The 23,591-nt window shown below is 34.1% G+C and overlaps 1 protein-coding gene across 5 annotated transcripts in view; it reads right to left on the minus strand.

The window, feature by feature from the left end:
* HYCC1 (hyccin PI4KA lipid kinase complex subunit 1) overlaps positions 1-23,591 on the minus strand; it is a 118,288-nt gene that overhangs the window by 38,219 nt on the left and 56,478 nt on the right. For 2 of the 5 annotated variants that reach the window (NM_032581.4, XM_011515589.3), the window contains exon 11: positions 150-12,102. The exons of 1 other annotated variant lie outside the window; for it this stretch is intronic. In NM_032581.4, coding sequence (NP_115970.2) covers positions 11,528-12,102 — 575 coding nt within the window. In that variant the 3' untranslated portion in view covers positions 150-11,527. Of the gene's footprint in view, positions 1-149; positions 12,103-12,890; positions 13,187-23,591 lie in introns of those variants that run through there. 2 more of the 5 variants (NM_001363467.2, NM_001363466.2) reach the window with 2 other exon arrangements.

Raw genomic sequence — 23,591 nt, forward strand, 5'->3', positions numbered from 1 at the left:
TTCTTAAATGAGATCCTGGGATATGTACTAGGGGCTTTCCCTTTTGAAGGGTTGTGAAATAACATTTTTATCTCTCAGTGCCATGATGCATAAAAACTAAAAATCTTTTTTCTGGCTTTCAGCAAGTTTCCGCCTCTTTTTTTTCTTTTTTTTTTTTTTTTTTTTTTTTTTTTCCCTCTCTGAGCAATCCAAGAATTCAGCAAATACTCAAGAGGAAAACAAGGAAAGTGCCAGGCTCACTTCTCTGAACTTCCTGTCTTACTAGGATCTCTGCTCTCCCAAGTGCGATTGGTTTAAAGGCCCTGTTCTTTTTGTTTCTCCAGTCCTGTGTGGTTTCCATAACTTGTTTGCTTCTCTGATTCTTAACAGTAACTCTCTTCTTGGGCCTTTTACCCAGATTTGGCAAATTCCATAATGGAAGAAGTAGCTGCAGAATGTCTGCTCACTTCTCTGGTTAAAATACTTTTGTATTGGGAGTCCCCAAGACCACGCCAGCACCCCAGGTTCAGTGATTCAACAGAAGCACTCACAAGGCTCAGCATATAGTCATACTCATGGCTATGATTTATTAGAGAAAAGTACTACAAAGCAAATCAGCAAAGGGGAAAAGGACATGGGGTGAAGTCCAGAGGAAACCTGACACAAGATTCCAAGAATCCTTTGCCTGTGGAATCACACAGGCTGTGGTTAATTACTTCAGTACTGAATTGTGACAACAGGTGTGAAATGTTGTCTGCCAGGGATGCTCGTTAGAGTCTTACTGCCCAAAGTTTGTATTGGAAGTTAGTGATAGAGGCACCCTCTGCCCAGCACAAATCATAATTCCAGACTCCTAGAAGCAAAGCGGGAATTCAGCATAAACCATGTTGTTTATATAGTTTACAAAGAGTAAACCCCCTTATCAGTTAGGGAATGGTGGGAACATTCCGGTAATCCAAGTTCCCAGACACTAGCCAAAGCCCAGCTTTAAAATCAGGGCTAAGGATAGCATCTCAGCCTCTTATGTTAACTCTTTTCTGCACACCTTCTCTCTGGCGTTTTGTCTTCTAGAGTCCTGTTTAGCTGAAAGTTCTTCAATGGCTTCAAACAGAGGTTTTAAGCAATTTTACCCAAAGCTGCTTGTTGTTCTCAATGAGTGTTGCTCTGCTATAGAAGTGTCTGGTTATTTTTCTTTTCTCTTGTGAAGACTGTATTTGAAAAATTGTAGAACTTGAGGCTTAAGATGATGGGGTTTTTTTTCCACCTCCACAGAGGATTTGTTTATTACCAAGCACTTAGGGGATCATTTTTAATCTGATTTCAGGAATTGGGATGGTTTGAATCCGTGCTGAATTCCCTGTGTATGGGGGAGAGTTGATGCACTTCCAATTCACTCTTACTCCTATGGTGGAGCTTTTTTGGGTCCCAGCCCAAAGCATGGGAATTTCCTAAGCCCTCTTTTATGACTTGGCAGGCACTGGCATTCAGTTTTTGTCCTCCTAATATCCTGGAGCAGTAAGAAGCACTGCTTATCCCCTTAAATGCTTCTAGAATCAGCCAATACCTCCAGGAAAGAAGTTGTGCCAATGCTTGCCTCTCTAGATTTTCATGTTTATTTATTTAGAGACAGAGTCTTCCTCTGTTGCCCAGGCTGGAGTGCAGTGGTGCTATCTCGGCTCACCTCAACCTCCGCTTCTCAGGTTCAAGCGATTCTCCTGCCACAGCCTCCTGAGTAGCTGGGATTACAGGCATGTGCTACCAGACCTGGCTAATTTTTTTTGTATTTTTAGTAGAGACGGGCTTTCACCATGTTGGCCAGGCTGGTCTTGAACTTCTGACTTTAGGTGATCCACCCACCTCGGCTTCCCAAAGTGCTGGGATTATAGGCATAAGCCACTGCGCCTGGCCTAGATTTTCATGTTTTGAAGAGTTTTGCTGGATTATCTAGTTGCCAATGGGAATTTTGATGTTAATTACCTAGTTTCCCATGACTGAAAGTGTAATTCTACCTCTACCTCACTGATTACATTGTAAAATAAGTTTCTTAGAAGCAATATTTTGGGGAAAATCATAATGGTGAACAGGAAGCTTATTATTGCACACACAAGCATGGTGCTTAGGGAAGGCAAACTTAAAGCCAGATCCAGAGTAAGGCTCTATTCCATGAGGACAAATAGTTGTCTCTCCATGAAAGAAAATATTTGATATAATCAATCTGCCACTAACTATCTGGTCACCCTCAGATGTTGTATCTTAGGATGGTCACTGCTGCTGGCCAGTTCGGCTCCTGGCAGTAATAAGGACAGCCTTGATGAAAGGAGGCCTGTATTGTTGAAGTTCCTGTGTAGCCCTATCCTTCCAGTATAGCCGCTTTGCCCATAAACTGTTTGAACAAAGGCTGGAATACCAAAGAGATTTACTGATATCCTCAAAGTCATCTTGACCATCTGATTATTTAGCACCTCCTTCACCACAGGGCCTTTGTTTAATATGTCTGTAGGAAACAATTATTCTTGCAATCTGAGCCTATTTTAAGAAGTCCAATATGTTTAGCTCCCAATTTTTGTCACTCATCCTCCAATCTTATTACGTCTGTGTTTCCAACCACCTGGCCAGGTATAAATGGTGTAGATCTGTATCTTGGGATGGCTCACTTTCGGTGCAAAGCAGACTAGAAATACTGCTCATATTTATTCTCGCTGGAAAAAGTTCATTTCCTCACTGTCCTCCAGAACCATCTTTGAGTGAAGCTGAAACACTGTAGGCTATGTCTAGCTAGTATCAGCATGCTGTGCAATACTGCTTGTATAACCAGTCTCAATTTTACCCCTTCAGGGAACTGGGAAATGTATATTATGTCCTATTGTACGAGTATTCATGGGTTTGCTTGCTTGTTTGGTTTGTCCTTCTTTCAAACATGTCCTGTCTCATCAAATTCAACTTGGTGGATATAAATGAATTTAAAGGCTTAAGGAAAGAATAAATATTGAAACAAAAGTCTTAAACTAGAGGGGAAACTAGAGGGGAATTAGAATAGAGGAAGAAAAAGTGGTGATGCTCTTCCAGAGGGTTTCATTTCAAGGGATTTGGAGGTGAAAATGTTTGTAGAAAATTACACAGCACAGCAGGCAACATAGAAGTAGAAATATGTTGGCTAAATGAAGAGAGTAAAAGTTTAAAGATAAATGCATGATAGGCTTTCAGTAGGCCGTAGTGGATCTAGGATACAAAAGTTAAATATACTTGTAGTTTCTACAAAAGGAAGCAAGTGAGACAAGGAGCAAGAATTCAGTGTTGAAGTTAGGCCTTTCCTACGTTGTTTTCTGATTAGTCCAGATACCATTCATATTCACCACAAATCTACAGGAGTGAATAATAAATGTCAAACATTAGCCCAGAAAATTCTTCACACCATTCATAGTCTAACTAAAGAGAAACATGATGCATAATTTACTTCTCAAAACATTTTTATGCAGGCATGCTTAAAATAATCAGAGTAAAGCTTTACAACCTTCATTTTCATCTCCATGAAGAATATTAGAGAATAAAAGGAGTTTCAAAGACTTCTATTGAATAGAAGAGAAGCAACACAGTCTCTCCTATGCTGCCACTGATTTCCTGGATTCGATTTATATTCTATCTAGTAAAACAAATCTTTATTCACCATTATGTATTAGTTATATTATATTCCCACAGGGCTGTGGTCTAGTGAGGGAGACAAATATGAGAAAGATAAGTCACAGCACAATGTGATGTGGATTATATTAGAACACTTAACAAGTGTGAACCAAGTGTTATAGAGGTCAAGAAGCTACAGAAATCTTTGCGATCTTCAGCAGAACACTAAGAAGTCACCAAAGATACATCAATTGTTGGAGCTCCAGTGGTACGATCAGTTAGCATGCCGTACTTATGACCTGTCAATTGCTATATACATAATATTGACTTATAATCTTTGAATAGAGAGAGCTAAGAAAAACAAACTGAATCCATCAGTGTCAATACAGCTTGGATAAGACTGTAGCCCATGTATGTCAACATAACTTAGTTGTTTATTCCAGGAAATCTTTGCCCAGGAAAGATAAGATTACAAACAAAACAAAGCAAATAAAAACAAGAACAATCCCTATTTTTTTGTTGTTGTTGTTTGTAGAGGAAATTCCTAAGGTTGAAGACAATTCCTACAGGTGAAGCCCTGCTCACCTGGGCAAACAGCTTGTTTCTCAAACAACAGTTGACTTTTCAGGAATCTTCAAGAACCCTGCTTGCTGTGTCCACTAATTCTGAACTATCAACTTTGCTAATCCCAATCAGTTCCCTGCCTTGACAGACATACCTTAAACCATTTGAGCATAGATCCCAAAGCCCTACAAATAATCTTACTTTCTGGTTCTGACACACAACCAAATCAAGGTGGCACTTTCTCTTACCACAGTAAGTCCTATTATTTACTTGTGCTTTATTAACAGGTCATCTGATATTTGGGAAGTTCAACAAGGATTTTTTAAAAGGCTTGCTCATTTAGTTGGTGTGTAGTGCTGTATGGTAGAATCATTTTTCTATGTCAGGCCAATTCACCTTCATTAACAGGTCTATGCTGATAACGTTACTCAACTGGCTTTATTTTAGGTAGGCCTCATTTAAAATACAAGATCTCTTCAAGAAGTTTGCCCTTTCTAACTACAATCCACTACCAGATATCCAATTCATTGCTGACAGCTACTAGACCATATTTTACATTTGTATAAGCCATCAACTGAGGAACCCGTTAGAAATACAGGTTTCCATGCTTCACTCACAGTGATTCTGATTCAGGGAAATTAGCACAATGCCCAGGAATCCCCATTTAAAAAAAAAATTTCCTAATGCAGGCTGTCTTTAGACCACACTTTGAGAAACAATGCTCTCCTCCCCCATACTAGCAAACGTAAGTGTGTATTATACATATACACACACTCATATTTAACTACTGCACACATTTATAATGCAAGTGGGATCATACACTGAATAATCAATGTAAATCATCACATACAGATCTGCATTCTTTTTAATGGCTACATTATATTCCACTATATGTACGTACCATAATTTATCTATTCCTCTATTAACAGACATTTAGATTTGCTGGCTTGTTTTTGCTATTACAAGCAATACTGCAATGAATACCTTGCATGCTTATGTTTATATATTTGTGCTAAATTTTCAGTAGAATACAGAGAATGGAATAAATATAGAAGAGTAGGATGGCTGTTTCAGAGGGTATGAGATACACTTTAAAGTCTGATAGATCCTGTTGAACTGCCCACCAATTCATTTGTACCAATCTACAGTCCTGCTAATCATCTCAGTGACTAATGATTTCCCCATACCAATGTCAATACTAGAACCAATCTTTTTCATCTTTATCAATCTGACAGGAAAAAAAAAGAGAAATCTTATTTTAATTTGCATTTTACCATGCTTTTACTAACAGAATAACGAGCATTGTTTGACCACTAAAACACAATTATCTCTAATTCTGTAAAATGTATTATGATTTACTTTTAGAACACTTTGATTTTATCTTACCTTAAAACTATTACCTGTAAGACAGATGGGGTGAGTGAATTTTAAATACATCTCTATTAGGTAGGATTTAATTAGTATCTTCTTTTACCAAGCTATATAAAGTGAGAGTCCTAAGACCTGTGTTCAAGGCTGAGTTTTGCCACTCAGCAGCTAGGTGACCTTAGCCAAGTCCTCTACCCTATTGAGAGCTTCAGTTTCCTCTTCTGTAAAATGGGGATTCTATGCACTTTATAGGATGATTTTGAGGATAAGATGATCATTTTAATTACACATATTAGCTACCACTACTATCACAATAACATAATGCAAAGAAAATAATAACTACAACTGGTTGTAAAAAATCTTTCTCTACAATTATAAAACAGTTATCTTGATATTAACAAAGTCGGGTTGTAGGAGGTGAGTCAGCTATGTGGACTACTGGAGTTACTGGAAGAGTGCATATTGTATAGGACAAAATACTGCTTACAAAATCACCACTCTGGTTCTCTACAAGTACCCTTCTAAGAGTAGTTAAGAACACATTTCCTAAATTACTTAGTTCCTTAGATGAAATGGAATTAACCAAACATATAATCAACTACAAGCCAGGAATTTTTTCAAGTGTCTAATAGGTTAATAGGTTCTGTTTTTTTTTTTTTTTTTTTTTTTTTTTTTTTTTGAGATAGAGTCTCACTCTGTTGCCCAGGCTGGAGTACAGTGGCATGATCTCGGCTCACTGCAGCCTCCGCCTCCCAGATTCAAGTGATTCTCCTGCCTCAGCCTCCTGAGTAGCTGGGACTACAGGTGCCCGCCACTATGCCTGGCTAATTTTTGTATTTTTAGTAGAGATGGGGTTTCGCCATGTTGGTCAGGCTGGTCTTGAACTCCTGACTTCAGGTGATCCACCCACCTCGGCCTCCCAAAAGGCTGGGATTACAGGTGTGAGCCACCGCACCCAGCCATAAGTTCTTTTTTCTAAGTACATGCTATAATGCAATTCATGTAATGCCACTGAGATTTCCTAAAGCCAACAAACAAAATTCTAAAATTGTACTGTTAAAGAAAACACTGAAGACTTATCCTTGATTCTTTTCCAAAGCTAACATCAACCTAACTCATTTATTGTCTCATAAATGTCTAGATACCTACCACGCACAAAGTCCTATCTAGGTACTAGGGGCATATAATCTCTGTACTCAAGAGATATAGACTCTTTCTTCTTCTTTTGCTTTTTTTTTTTTTTTAAGAGATAAGATCTCGTTATATTGCCCAGGCTGGTCTCAAATTCCTGGGCTCGAGTGAACCTCCTGAGTAGTTGGGACTACTACTCACCACACATGGCAATAAAGATTCTAAAGTTAGAAGGACAAAGTGATGTTACCTAAATTTGCCTGTGCTTCTGATATGACAAATAATCCGCCACTGGTGCATGGCCCATAGAGCTCATCTTCATCTTTGGATGAATACGAGTGGACCTGTCATACTCCTCAGCCCTATGACATGTAAAGCACAAAGCCAGGAATGAGGTCATTGTCTTATCACTTACCCCCAAAAGCTCTCAATGGCTCAACTTACCTAAGTCTTCCTCCTTTATTCTCTTCCTTCATATCAAAACTTCTGCAAATTTTTATAATAATTTTTTAAATGAGTAAACTGATCTGGAAAAAATATTTTTTTCAGTTTTTATTTCAATAAAACAAGAGGCAACACTTGTTGTATAAAGTACTACATATGGAGAACATTTACACAAATATACAAAAATTCAAAAAACTAAACTCCAGTTTATTTCCATAGCCTTAAGAAGGTAGGGAACACACAAAAATAGCCAAAGTCGTCGTTTATTCTTTAGGAATGTAAACTCTAGGAATACAATTAGAAACAAATATATTTACTATGAAAAGATTAGTATCACTAAATGATTAGAAATAAAGGTAAGAGGTACACAATAAGTTCCATATAAGAGAAAGCAACAATACGTGAAATAAAATCTTGGGTTTATGGTAAAAACTTCCTATTAAGACAAATGTACTCTAAAACTCTACTATAAAAAAACACAAAAACATCTCCCAAAATGTTCGTTGTTAGTTTCTTTAGATATGCACAAGTTACAAAGTATAGAAGACAATATATTTATGCTCTCTGATGAAGAATTTAACAATATTAAACATAAATCTGAATAACTCAAAGTACTGAGTATAATTTTACTAAGCAACAAATGTAGAAGTATAAATTCATGCTCATTAAAGGACTAGAGAGTTTTAATTTTTCATACAAAGACTGGGAGGACACTATTATACATTAATTTCTATCTACAATGCTTAAAGTACCCATCAAATTATTTTTCTTTTTAAGTGGTTTTTAAAAAATATTTTTCAGTTACATTATTCAACATGTATATATTTCCTTGATGTGCTTCCCTTTAATACAGATTTATTGTGCCTAAACGCAAATGTTAACCTGCCTTATTTTAAATATTTGTTTAAAATTATGTCTCAGAGTACATCTGTTCTCTGTAATTCAACAGTTTTAACATTTTAGTTTTATTCTTCCAAAATAGGCAAAATCCCTTAAAACTGGGATCATTTTGATCTATTTTGGTTTTAAAAATATATTTCCCTTTAATTCAACTTTTTAAAAAAATGAGTAATATTTGCTGAGCAGTTGCTTCACAATTGAAAAGAGCAATGAAATATTGCTTTTTCAAAACAAACTTCAGGCATCATTTAAATGCCGAGAATTCCAACTCTTCAAGTCTTGAGAGCTTGCCTTAAAAATTTCCATAGTGGTATACAAAGGACTCCAGGGTGCTTTCCTGTGGCTTCAGGAAGGGAAGGGAAGACATTTGCCCTGGGTAGTCTGGGACAGTCCCTTGAAAAGTCTATTTTTGTTTCTCTCCCCACTTGGATTCCAAAAAGCTAGTGCTGGCTCCAGTGCCACCAGAATACTCCAGGCCGTTGGGTTTTCAAATGTGAGAGGTTGGGTGATTTCAAGAATCTATAGAGATTTAAAATGTGCAATGAAGCCACAATTTCTGTTCAGATCCTCTGAAATATGGGGTGCAAGACCCCAATTTTGTGTGGAATCCTTCTCATGATAAAAATATTATTCTGGATACTTAGGAGATCTGTGACCATCAGCATCTTTATAAGAAAGTGACCTACAAAAGCTACCCCAATTTTCAAATTTGAAAGTTCAGTGGGGAGAAAGTAGTATGGATAATAGTAATGGTTACCATAGTTAAGATTATCCAATTTTCATAATTTCTATAAAAACTTTCAATGTGTAATCCTTATTTGAAATAGTATCAAAGGAACTATAAAAGAATTTTGTTGTTAACGTAACTCCGCTCTCCAGAAAATCAATTAGTGCAAATCATTTGAAGCAAAAAATCAGAACCATTTCACTGAGCAAGTCTTCAGAGATTTTTTAAAAAGAATATACAAATGCAAATTTGTTGTGCAGTATATAAAAGGGTGGCACCCCTTTTCACACTTAAAATTTCAGGCATTTACAGCTCTGATTCCATTTATAGTTAACAAGAAAAATATAAAGTGTTACTTTTTTACTGCAAAAATAAGGATCATTAGCAATCTAGAATTCAAATACTTAAGAAGCCATATGTCAATATTATTAAACTAATTAATTAGCTGTCAAAACCAATGAAGATTATAATGATCTAGTGTCTGACACATTTGATCTAGGGCTGTGAGACCACTGGGAATTCTACATATTAGACGAGTAATTTGTTTGCACTCTGATACTTTCTTCTCATAAAAATCACTTGGGAACCTTGTTAAGAATGCAAATTCTGATTTAGTAGACCTAGAGTGGCATGAAATTCTGCATTTTTAACAAGATACCAGATAATGCCAATCCTACTTACTGGTCCTCAGACCACACAGCTAGCAAAGGTCTAGAGAGGTCTAAATGAGGTTCCATTACAGTGATAGAACATGAAAATCTGATCTCTCAGCTCTGTCAGCTAACATTTCCCCAAACTTATTCTACAATGTTTCCTAAGCACCTCAACTTGCTTAAAATGCCAATCTTAAAATGCCAAATTAGTTTTTAATAATACCAATACTATTAATAACTATGCACAGGGGAAATTCATTGTTAAAGAATGACAAAAAGACATCTGTAAATTCACAGTGATATTTTACAAATATTTTAAATTGTACACAGGGTTCCTATTAAGTTAATACAATATCAAGTTTCACTGCCCGATTGCCTTACAGTTCTTAACTACAATTTATGGCAATAGATCTTATTCCATTCTGTTACTGGAGCTAAAAGAAAATCAAATTCATTTATGTCAAAATCCACATTGTAAACAGGGCTAATGAATGAAAACGAGTTCATGCTTTTTGAAGAACTCGGTTTAAACTGGTAGCCAAAGCAGTTGCAGTTAAAACTATGTCCAGAGTATAAATGCTTTGGCAGCCTTCAAAGCATACAAATTTTTCATATATCTGAGCTCTGCATAAGCAGGAACAAGAGGAAAACACTAGCATGCTCTCTTGGTGACTACAGCAAGGGACTATGAAGAAGGAAACCGCTGTGCAGTCACAGTGAAAAAGAGCCAAGAACTGGACAGCTCCTTAGGTCTTCCTCAACGGTCAACTGACTCAGCCTCAGCCGTGCTTTCTCTCTCTCACTCTGAATGATGACTTAAGTACATTTGCTTTACAGGGGAACCGCAACCATAGCCAAAAGGACCACGGCTAGCAAACATCAAACTTTTATTTCCATCTAGAGGTCACATACAGATACATACAAGTTTGTTTCAACTTCTGCCATGTCGTCTTTTTCATTTTTACTTTTTAGTTGGGAGGTAACTAAATTGATTATTCTTTTGATATCATACTAAGATATTTAAAACAGGCCTGTTCACTAACAAGAAAGACATTTCTTTTTCTTCGTGTTTTAAATTTAAGAACACAAACATAAACAACTTTAGTTAATATATAAATGTCCTTTGTCCATATTTCACTACCTTTATTTTCTTTCATGACATTTTATAGATGAAAAATGCATTTGCAGACAAACAATTACATATTATACAGTGGTATCTTGAGAGCTATGTTGCAAGATTTACACTGATTTCCAGGAAGTCTTCCAATGACGTATGCTCTGAATTATAGGAGTCCAAACTAACTAGGATTTCCAAAGTCCAGCAGTAGGGTAAATCAGCTTTACAGCCTATTATACCTTAATAATTGAAAGGGATCTTCACATGCTAAATCCAGATAAAACACTTCAAAACAACACACCTACCAGCAATCTGATTTTTGATATAAAAATGTTTCAGAGATAACAACAGAAATGCCTCTAGCCATCCCCTGGAATCATATAATATTCTAGGCACTGGGTTACCAGGCATTTTCCAGGGCTTTGAGCAAATTGTTCTAATCATAAAGATGATCTGCTTACAAATATTTTCATCAGGTGCTTTTCATACACATCATTTTTGTGTTTCCACATGCCTGTTTTCAGATTGGCTTCCTGACCAGGAGCTAGAGAATTCCTGGAGTTGTGCCTCTGCCCCATTCTCTATAAAACAGTTCCCATACATGCAGACTCCCTTTGACTCTGAAGGCCAAACACACAGCCATCAAAATAGGAGCTATTAAAAAACCAAACCAAACCAAAACAAGAAAAACCACCTTACAACCTCACATGAGACATAACCAACTTGATTAGACAACCTGTCAAAATTTATTGTCACTGACAATCTTAGGGCAACAATAACAAATAAGAGGAGGGAAAAAAAAGACTCAAACCAAGGGGAAAAAATCTTAATCAAGAAATAACAAAACCATATTTCAACTTACTGCAACCTAGACAATCTTCCCTTCATAAAGTCAGGGGAGCCTTCAGAATTTAAGACATCAGGGCTCCTGTCAGGAATACGGATGAAAGACCCAGGGTACTTTCATAAAGAAGCAAAGTTGTATTTCCAGGTTCACTAGGTTATGGGAGAAAAATATGTTACTAATTAATCTGTGGACAGAGTAATGCTAATACTAGGAGGTCTCTGCTGACCTGATTGATGCTTCATTGGAAGTTCAGTTCTTTCTGAAACGTAAATAAGCTTTTCTTCTTGGAGACTACAAGCGGAAAACCTATTGGCATCTGTCCCAGCCCCACAACCAACAGCAGATGACGGGTTATGTGGGACTGTGACACCACTGACTTGTTCAAAGGATTTACTAAATACAGTCGCTGCGGTCTTAGCCAAACCATGGCTACTAGGCTTAGGTAGGGATTGGCTGGTTGTTAAAGTAAGTCTCTTCAAAGAGAGAAGCTCAAGATTCTCACTTTGGGCTCTCTGAGTTTGTTTTCGAGCAAAGTGATCTTTGCAAGATTCCCCTGTAGTTTCTTTTTCTTTTCCTCCAGTTTTGCTTCCTCCTGACCGTCTGTGGTTCTTTCCTATACTTGGCTTGTTACTACAATTGTGACTACTGTTTGATAAACCCGACTGGCTGGTACTAGACGCAGCCCTGGAATAAAATCCCTCGTCAACTTCAGATATCTCCATCAGTTCTTCTTGACCTGTTAATTCTGTATTTCCTAAACAAAGAAATGACAAAGATTAATTAACATTAAGTATTTTAAGCAATCTTTTTAAATGATTAACACCAAATCAGTTATGCTTTACATAAATTAAGCTTTAGCATAATTTATAAAGCAACAGATTATAGAAAATCAAAGGATAAATCAAAACATTTATTATAAAATGTCAAAAATACTTCACTGTAATTAAATGACAGTAATTTATAGTGTATTAAACAAAAAGCATGCCATAAACCATACCCCATTAAGTTTTTAGAAAGAATTCTCCTATTCATGCAAAAGATAAGAAACAATTAGAAATATCACGCAGTAAAACTAGGGGTGAACTCTCCTTCAGTAGCAAAGCAGTATAAAATCAAAGCTCTTACCAAGGAACTTTTAAAAAATTGGTATTAGAATACTTTAAAGACTTTTTTAGAAGGTTGTACTCTATATTGTAGATTATTTTATCAAATTAAAAAAATCTAGACTCTAAATATCACAAGCTCAAACATAAAATTCTATACACATTATCCTTCATAACAAAGATGGCAAAAAGACAAAGCCGAAAAAGTAATTTTAGAACTCCAAACATAAGCAGAAAATTATTTTAGAAGGAATTTTCTGCCTCAGTTTTCATAAAAATTTACTCAAAGACGATAAAGGTATAATCATTCCAAAGAACATTAAGAGTCATTGAGAAATGTGGTGCATAATTCATGCATTTGGATTAGATTACATGCAAAATTTTTGTGACTGTGCAACTGCTGCTTAACATGCATCAGTGGCCCTTTGCCTTAAGATACCTTGGAGTGCAGTTATAAAGTGCTCTGCTAAAACTGCACTCTGCCAGGTGAGTTTATTCCATCCTCCATCATTTTTCTTACAGATTTTTGCCTCCTGATCTCTGGCAAGCCTTTGCTCTCAGTTCTAGGATCTGTGGCTGTTTCCTGCACACCCTGTATATGCTGAGCATCAATCTCTCCTAGTGTTCTGCCTTTTTCCCCATTCCCGGTTCTCTCTCCGGCCACATTTGTGACACTAATCTCAGGAATGACAAGGATGCCCAATTCAGTAGCATCATTATTGTTGTCAGGTTGCTCTAGAATTGAAGATGATAAGACAAAATGATGGATGAAAACAAAACAAAAACGTGAAATGAGAAAAGCAAAAGACTCAAAACAAAAATTAGATGACTGAATGTTATGAATTAAGCCAAATATTTGCACTGTAGTAATTTCCATAATTTATAATACTCTGATAGCACCAGAGACAATAGGGTCATATTCTTTAATTTTAAATGACAAACAAAAAATTCACAGAGCATCAATTCACGTTCTGCATTTTTTCACACACACATTTCACATGGAATATGAAAGATAAATTTTCTAATAAATCAAAATAAAATTTGTTTTTAAATTGTTCTTTTTGTGTTCTTTGGGTAATTTTCTAGTGTTTTTAAGATAATATGGTGACCACCTGAATTTATGTCAAGTCTTAGGCAAATGTTCAAGGATCTACAGCCAAACCTTTAGCTTTTGTCAACATTAGGAACCAAGCCACACAGAAGTTCCCCTTTGTACTCTTAAAATTCTATTTTTTATGAGGCTACATTGAGACTGACTTAATAAACCATGATATTTGGGAAAATGCTTATTCATATATGATATCATGGTTAGTAATGGCACAGGTATAGTTTTTGTCTCACATATACATCATCTATTATTAACAGTAAGTATTAATGTGGCTGTGATATAGTTAAGCAGTTGATTTATTCAGACTCATACCAATTTCATAAATTTAGTTCATTACTAGACTAGAGAAAAATAAAAATGGATTTGGAAAAACAAATTCGTTGTCAGCCCTTTATCTGAAAACAGCCATTATAAATGAAACAAAGAAACAAAACTCCTAACTAGTTAATACCTGTAGACATGATTTTATTCTGGTCTTAAATAAGAAAGGCATAATGTTACAAGGAGTTATTCATGTAAATGGGGAAAAGTAACATAAATATACCTAGAAGGTGACAGTAGTGAAACAAAGTTCAAAGCAACATAAGACTATGTAAAACAGCATATACTTTTTAAAAACTGTAGACCACAAACCTGCTTATGGGACATCACCTACTATTTTCAAATACTTTCGTGATAGGATTATCAGACTCCCACTAATGATGCTAAAGGCTGAGAAACAGTAACAGGTAGTAAAAGAACAAAGGCCAGAGCCACATATTACTGTGGTTCCCTAACTTAGCTGCACATTGGTATCACCTGAGCATCTTTAAAAACTACTGATGCCTGGCTCCAACCCCCAAACATTCTAATTTATAATTAGTGTGAGATATGACCTGGGCATAAGATTTTTAAAAGCCCCAGGTGACTAACGTGTAACAAAGTCTGGGAACCACTGCTCTATTCTGATTCTTTCAAATTTTAAAAACTTAAGATAAAAGTTGTTACGGGTGCCTTGGATACTCCATACCCAGCAGCAATATGCACTTCTGGGAGCCCCTCCTCAAAGCTTCATGGTGCCTCGCACTGCTGAGCCAACATGCTGGTGTAATTATTTCCCCTAAATTAGTGCTTCATAGGCTTTTGACTAAAGGTTCTCTAAATGAAGTTTTTATTTCCTAGATAGGCTGAAGAATGTTGGTGAGGTAGTAGTGCACTGCTGCTTCTGGGTGCTCTGTAATAAAGGATTAATGAAACTAAAAACCTCCAACCAAGCCTGTTTCCAATTGCTAACAACTGTCTTCCAAGTTAGGGCAAATAAATTCTTATTGAGGTACATGCCAGAGGTCACTGCAACTGAGATAAAATCGCCATGGCACTGTGGAGTGACAGCCAAGACTTGTTTATTTACATTGTGGAAGCTGTTTCACAAAAGATCTACTAAAGGGATCTCCAGTCCAAAAAAAATCAAACTTCGGAAATTATCCAGACATAAAAAAGGCAATGAATATTAAAATTTAATAAAATTTTAAAAGCTAAGCATAGGCCTAATAGAATACAGAACAATACTTACAATGAATTGCCCTAAGTCGCTTTCTTGAAAGTGTTCACATATATTATTCAATTGTAATCTCAAAACAATCTATTAGTGAGCCTCTGAAGTAGGCAATTTGATTCCCATTTACAGACAAGGAAACTGAAGTTCAGGAAGAGCTACACAACTATTCAGTGGGGGAAGCTAACCAGTAAAATCTTTTAACTTCAAATGTCTCTTCTAACATACTATAAATACTAACTCTAACTCTTCATTCGAGTCCGTTTGAGTTAAATATCCTCTGACATCCCACAGTTAGGTTTAATTTATTCATGTAGATTCCTGGCCATTTTACAAAAAGCAAACAATTTACTTTGAATGGAGAGCCGGAGAAAATAAAAGTCTGGAAGAAATCCTAGGAAAGTAATAATTCTTGAGTTTAGGTCTGTGTATTTTTTTAATTGGGTCAATTTTTTAAGAGATGCCAATGAAAGCTGTTAATCTAAAGTGGTGCTTCAATGGCAGAAATTCAGGATTTTGCAAGAAAAACTAGAAAATGACAGGGAGAATATTACATAAAGCAGTACCACGCAACTGAAATGTAATCACTTTTATCAGAATAAAGGTCTGCAGCCCAAGAAGTAATGATATTACATTTAAAAAAATCATGGAATTAAATGGCAAGTAGAAAAATAAGATCATGTGTTTTCCCACAAGCATAAGTCTTTACCTAATTAATTGATACTTGTTATCACTCAAAAATGGTTAACAATGGCAGATTTTTTAAACTGCTTATTAAATTTATAAGAAGAGCAAGTAATTCTGTACAGAGCTAGAAAGAACAGAAACATAATTCTCAGGAAAACTACAGAATAAAGAAAGATAATTAAGTAATCCAAACAAACATTTGTTACCTAATCTTGCTCTCTATCAGCTCTCCAACTTCTTTCCCTATATAACTCTGTGACCCGACATTCCCACCCACACTGTCTTACTGCTGTCCTGGCTGCTGTCTTCTCCTGGTGGCTGAATGGCTCATTTCCTTACTTCACATCTTTTTCAAAAATTTCCTTTACAGTGAAGTCTCCCTTGGTCAACCCATCCAAAGTTTTAATAGCCCCCACGTTTCACATACCCTCTTCCTTTTTTCTTCTTCTTAGCACTTAACACTCTCTAACCTACAATTATTTATTTATCTTGTTTCCTAGACCTAAGTTCCATGAGGAAGGAGTTTTTAAAATTTTCATCTAGTCACTACTATGTATCTAGTACCTGGAAAAGTAGCTTGTATATAGTAGACACTCAATACATCTTTTTTTGATGAATTGAGTGAATATTCTGTTATGAGATTAAATTATTAGAATAAATAAAAGTGAGAAAACATACAGAAGACATGAGAAGGGTAAGCTGTGAATGTGTTACTTGACTGGATAAATGAAATACATATAGCTTATGCTAATAAGAATTTTTACATGGCAAAGAAAAGCAAAGCCTCTTTGTTTTGGAAAAGTGAAGGAGCCGTCTCTAAATGTAGGTTTAGCAAGATGCTTAGGTCAAAAAGATCATTTTTAAAATCTATTTTTTTATTATGTTATCCAGAGGATGGCATATATAGCTAAAGAGTAGAACTTAATCCTTTCTTTAAGAAAATTATATAGAAGATGCTGTAAGGGAATATAAATGCATAATAAAATAGATTTTGTTTTTCCCAGAACTTAACAATCTATGCAAATGGAGTCATGATTAATCCACACCTTAAAAAAAAAACAAAAAACAAGTACTTGACTTCAAATAATTCAAAAAGCTCAAAAAAGATCCAAAAAGAAACTTCTCAGGATATATTTTATTTGTGTAACCCCCTATATGCACAAATAGGTAAACTCTCCACATGTAGAAATGAAAGTTAAAGAATACTTTTAATAGACATTTCCAAATTAGTTCTCAAAGGTACTCAAATAATTTTGCCCAAAAAAATTTCTTCCAGCTTTAAGAAAAAAAGTGAAGCAAATTGCAAATATTATTAAAACTGATGACGAAAAGTTGTGATTTCTCTCAAATGTCATTTTATAATCCCAAATATCTATTTTATTATGTCACTTACAAAACCACCTTAGCTTTTGCTTTTATTTGTTTTATGGCTGCCATATTTACTAAAGGTGAGAATTTTAATAAAAGAATAATTTATTTATTCATAGAATTTATACATCTCTGTACTCAGATTACTTTGAGTCTAAAGGCATCTGGCTCTGACATGGGGTGCTTACAAACTTATTTGTGAAAATAATAAGCTGAAGCTTTAAAAATATAATTTATTATTTGTCTGCATCATACAATTTTTTACATGAATTATGAAAAATACTTTAACTTAGAATAAACCCCAAAACAAAGTCATACACATTCTTTTACAATTTATGAGATGTAGATATTTTAAATGCCATACCAGAACAAATATCCTTTAATATAGTCATTTTATGTTTATAATATATTCTGTTCAATGGAGAAAAATGTTATCTGTATTCATTAAGCTATTCCTTACAGTGTTATTTATAATAGCAAAACTCAGAAACAAATTTCTTAACATATTAGAAGAATGATTAAGCAAATGATGGAATATTAACTCAATGTGATATCATGTAGCCATTAAAATAACTGTATTTACTAGGAGAACTAGGGAAAATGTCTGACAATATTAACTAAACAAAAACAAAATACCAAAAAAGTTTAAATAGAGTACAACCATGAAAACATACATGCATAGAAAAAACTAAATGAAAATTCTTTAAATACTGGAATTATAAGTAAATATCCCCTAATCTAGTTTACTATCATGTTGTTATACTGTTCTTCAACAAAACAAGAAAAGAAAGAACAACTTGCTCACCCTATGTTATACATTTCTTTATCATTCACTCACTTATTCATGCATTCAACTGAAATTTGTTGAGCACCTATAATATGTCAGACATTGATTTAGATGCTGGGGATACAACAGCCAAAAAGATAGATTCTTCCCTCACTATATAATAAGGGAACAGAGCTCACACTGTAATATCGGAACCAAGTAAACAAGATAATTTAAATAGCAGAAAATGCAATAAAAAAATAAGATGGGAAAGAGGAAGTAGGGTAATAGGGGATAAAAGTACTTAGATGGGTGGTCTGGGAAAACCTCTTTGAAGAAGAGATGTTTAAGCTGAGGTTTGAATGATGAAAAACTGCTAGCCACACAACAATCTGGAGTAAGGGAAGTCAACATACCTTTCACTATTCAAATTTCAGCTCAAATACTCCAAATAACTAGACAATGCCCCTAAGGCAGAATGGCTTAGTACGTTGAAGTGTTAGAATGAAGGAGTCTAATGAACCAGGGTGAGAGTGGTCTTAAAGTGAGGTCAAAGCAGTAGTCAAGAGGTCATATCACCAGGATCACATATGCCATAGCACGAAGTCTGGATTTTATTGTGATTACAGTGGATGGCCAGTGACAGCTACATGAAAAAACTATTTGCATATCTTTCATACTTTACTAGCCTTTTTTATCAATAGAAGTCACATTCGCGTAACACAAGATACTGAGCATAAACTGTGTCCCAAGTCATAAAGAATAGCACTGTGGCAATGCTTAACCTGGGCCAGTATTTACAAGGCAGATTAGAGGAAAACAAAGCTATCACAGAAACACAGGATGGGACCCTGCAGTTAAAGGGCTGCACTCTGAGCAAGGGCAAAAACAAAGACTAAGATGTCAAAATCTGAGCTCTGAAGCAGTAAGTAGTCTTTCTAGGTAAGAAAAGAGCAGCCTGGGGCATACAGAAAAACAGTCTGGAACAAGACAATTTGTATAGACACACCAGTTAGGAGCTATCAGCAGTTTCCATAAGAGATAAACAGTCAGATCTTTAGCTTTAGTTGTATACATGGTAAATGACAGAATTCTCCTTATTGAGGTGGATTCAATTACTCTCAGTAACTCCTTTTGTCATCTTTATTAAGTCTCAAGTTTTAAATAAAATCCAATAGAGAATTGCAACATACGGCCGCTGCAGGACCAGGTGAATCCTTTATGATTATTACAGATCCTCATGACCACGTAGCACAGACCAAAAACAGGTCAGCAACACCTATTACAAAACTACCTGTAAAAGCTTATTTCTTCCTTGGTGTGCAATGTGCAGCAAATGCTCATAAAAAGGTGGAGAAAGGAGGAGTGCTCAATAATCAATAATAAAAAATAATAACTTTCTTAACTACAGCAAGATTTATGTAAGTCCCCCTTAGTAAAAATGTAGAATACAATAATTTACGAACAAGTTTTTTTGCCTCATGAGACCAATAATTCTGTCTCTGGCTGGAAAATTTTTTAACTTCATTTTACCTGGAAATAAAATGAGATTTTTTGTTTTCCTCAAAAATTGTCTAAGTCAGGATTCTGTACACAGTCTTTCTTTCCTCTCTCAAACTTAATATCCACATGTGTCAAACATATCAATGTATTTCAGCTCTTTGGTTAATATGTCTTTTTTCCTTGAGTAATCTAATATTTCCTAATATTTTATTTTGTCCTCCATGGAAGTTCCACATTGAAAATGCCAGTTAAAATTCACAAAATTTTTGGTAAGAAAGAAATGCTTATTTTTGTCCAAATGTTTTATCTTCTATATTGGGAAAGAAAATCTGTTCCTCAAATAGCATTTTAGAATCTGAAAGTAATGGAGCTTCTCAAAATGATACTAAAAGTATTTACATTTTTTAAAATAAAACTGCCAGATAATTTTTTATTTTCTAAATTTCCTTAATAAGTATAGACAACCTTTAAAATAAAAACATACACATTATAAATTTTTAATTGCCGATGTAAAAATCATTCCAATAGACAATTCTGTAAAGTTTACTACTTTGGGGTTTAAAATTATTACCATTTCTTTGTTTTTCAAAATGCTTCTTAACTGTTAGCAACTTTATTTCTCCTCAACTGAAGACTTTTCTCATAGTTGTAAAATCAGATTTACAAAATAAATGTTCCATTTCAAGATTTATTACCATTTACCTTTTGTAATATCTAGAAAGACAACCTTAAATGCTTAAAAATATTTATAAACAATTATTATTTATAATATTTACTAAAATACACCCATTATAATTTTTCAGATTTGTTCAATAATTAGTACTTCCTTGCTTTATCAATGTTATTATACAGCAGAAATTTATTAGAATTTTCTAAATCAATAACCAGTTTTAAATGTTTTCCGATATGAATTGCAATCTTTTATTCTTTTCTTTTTTCATCTAACAAGCTAGTACTAAACCACTGAATAAGCAAATTATGAAACAAATCACTTTTTTGTTTTTTTTAAATCTCTTTGAACTCTGTTATAATCATTTAACTTTATTTAAATATGATGGCATCCATTAAAGAGAAGCAATTATTTTAAATGCTGAAAAATGCAATAAAACTGCTTTAACAACATGAAACTGTACTTTCTTTTTATTTCAACTACATAAATTTCATTTAGTCTGATTGTTCACATAAACACTGCATATAATTAAATATTCTAAAATTCTTGCAGTACTTATTTTGCATCATTAAGTTAGAAGACTTAGAAATATATACAGTTGCTACTTTTAATTCTTTTTTACTACTTAAAATTTTGTACTCTTGGATCCCCTAACTGAAAATAATTAAATGCACTGTTATTAAAATAAACCATTTAACATCTGCCAGGACCAAAAGTAGGGAAACATTGAAAGTATCTTGTTTATAAACATTCCTTTTATTATTGATACCTACTAGTTGCAAACAGTTATAACTGTACATAAATAAGAAACATAAATTTTGTCTATGTAATTTCTATTTTTATATTAACTTGGGATTGAAACAATAACAACATTTTTAAAATCCTTACTGTAATAGTGATATACACGTTAGATAATAAAGTTAGAGTACTATACTCCAGTATCACAGAACATACAAAAAATCTTTAAAGTAATTGTTACTATTATATAACGTGTATTTTTGCATTTGATGCTATACTCAAACTAAACAAGTTTAACTCAAATTGAGAAAATCCAAATTACAAGTTTCAAAAACTTACAGTTTTGGGAAAGTACTAAAGAATCACAGGACAACTTGAATAGCAAACTAGCTAATAAAAACTTATTAAGAATATACTTATTTTGTAGCTAGTAAAACAAACAAAACTGTTCTTAATTAATAATCTACCTTTATGTAGTGCTTTAAAGTATACCAAATGTTTTCACTTACTTGTCTCATTATCTCACAAAGGCACAAGTGGGAAGAATGATGGGCAGCAATAAAAAAATCGAGATTCCACTGGATAAGCCTTTTGATTAGTTGGCAAAAAATATAAGCACTCATTATTTGGAACTATAACTTAATTAGGGGACTTTTATAGAATGAATGACTAGTATTACAATAACTATTTTGAAAGAAAGGAGGAAATCTCTTACATTGTTCCAAGTATGGATAATTTCTTAAAAAGTGGAAGAAGAATGAGTAATCATGGTAGTAGTAGTTGTCGTGAACAGAGAGAAAATAGCAATTAGATTTGCTCTAGAAAAGGAGGAAGGAATGGAAAAACACAAGGAAATAAACAAGTATAAATTGTATACTAGAATACTGGAGTGGTAGAGAACTTTTCAGGGACTTAAGAAAAGGGGCTTTTTAAAATAGCTGAAATGGTAGATGATGAAGGTATCTTTGGAAACGACATTTAAGAATGACTATAGAATTAAAGCATAATTATAAAGAAATAACTTTCTATTTTCCTTTAACTTCTTTTTATTTTTAAAAGGAAATAAATATTTAAGCAAAATTGAATTTTAATGATTAACTTGAAAAATTAATGAATTATTTTACTAAATTTTATCTCATTTTTCTTACTGGAATTTTCATTTTGACTTTTATTATGGTCATAATCTATTCAGTCTTCTCTAAACTTATTGAATGCTTTTTAAAGCTTATTTTATTATTATCTTTCTCCCACTATGTTTTACTTTCAAATTATGACTTCTAGACAGCCCTCAATTTGTAGGTGACTTGAAAATCTATGTTTGAAAAAATACACCTTTGCCTTGAATTATTTGCCATCTATAGACTAAATTAAACACAATACGCATAAAAGAATAAGCAACACATAAAGCTTTTAATTCTGAAATTATGTTCCTTAAAAGTCGAAAGCAGCAATTCTACACTGTAATTTTATTTCCCAAACATATTTACTGACATAAAATTATGAAGTCATTAGAATTTTCTCAAAGATTTAAACACAAAGTTTAAAAAATTTGAAAAACACATTAAGTTAAGCCATGTCCATACAATTGTTTAACTTAAACTGAAAAGTGGGGCAAATCAAGCAAACACACCATTAGTTGTCAAACAGATCTCTCCAAAATAATACCTCAGTTAAAACCAACCTTTCTTTAAAAATCATCCTATTTAATTGACATGAGGATGCACTGTCTGGTCAAAATTTAAATTATAGGTCCTTACAAACGTACCACTCTGGTGCGGGATGTTGATATACTGGGGGAGGCTATGAATGTGGGGTCATGAGGTATTTAAGAACTCTCTTATTTTCCACTCAATTTGGCTGTTAACCTAAAACTGCTCTAAAAAATAAAGTTTACTAAAAAAATAAAAATAAAAAACAGAGCCAAGCAAATAACAGGACTGGTCAAAATACAATTCTAGAAACTTGAATTGATAACAACAGCAAAACCATGGCCAGAGATGCGTATTCTGAAATGTGTAGAAATGTTAAGAATAAAGTAATTTTTAAACTTCCATTATAATACTTTCCATTAAAATATGTTGTGAATAATTCTTAACCTTAAGAAAAAAATGGCAGATCTATGAAGCGTTACAGAATCCTAAAATACATTCTAGGATAGCTTTAAAATATTTTAAAATGTAAACAATTAAAACTTTTCAAAATTCATTTTAAAAACACTACAATGTGAGATTGGGCTGTAAAGAAAATTGAAAGATTCTTCTGTTACTGATAATAAAAGAGAATAAATATCCATTAATTGCTCTAATTTAATGTATTTGTCGGCTGTGTAATAATTTTTGGTGACTCAGATATGCAAACACACCAGTACATTCACATGGCTTAATTACGTATATTCTTTTATGGTAAAGGGAGATGGAAAAAAAAAAAAAAGCAAAAAGGAAAGTTTTACTTGGCGTCTTCCATGAGAAAACCTCATTCACTCGTTTCCCTCTTCTACCCAGAAAAGATAGAAAGAGGAGAAATTAGAGGAAATGCAATAATAAATAAAGACAAATAAGTAAAAGAAAAAGAGAAGAGCTCCAACAGAAAAAAAGAAAAAAGGGCCAATTGCTTTCTTCTTTCCAAAAACTAGGAAAACAAAGAGGCAAGGAGAAAGAGGAAAAAAAGAATATTTCTTAAAGTTCATGGTTCTCGTCCCTTCTCCTTTCCCAATCCTCATCACCACTGGCTTAAGGTGGGATATTCCTTGTTTCTACTGTATGATAG

This window comes from Homo sapiens, chromosome 7 (genome assembly GCF_000001405.40).
Source record: "Homo sapiens chromosome 7, GRCh38.p14 Primary Assembly".
NCBI classification, from domain to species: domain Eukaryota; kingdom Metazoa; phylum Chordata; class Mammalia; order Primates; family Hominidae; genus Homo; species Homo sapiens.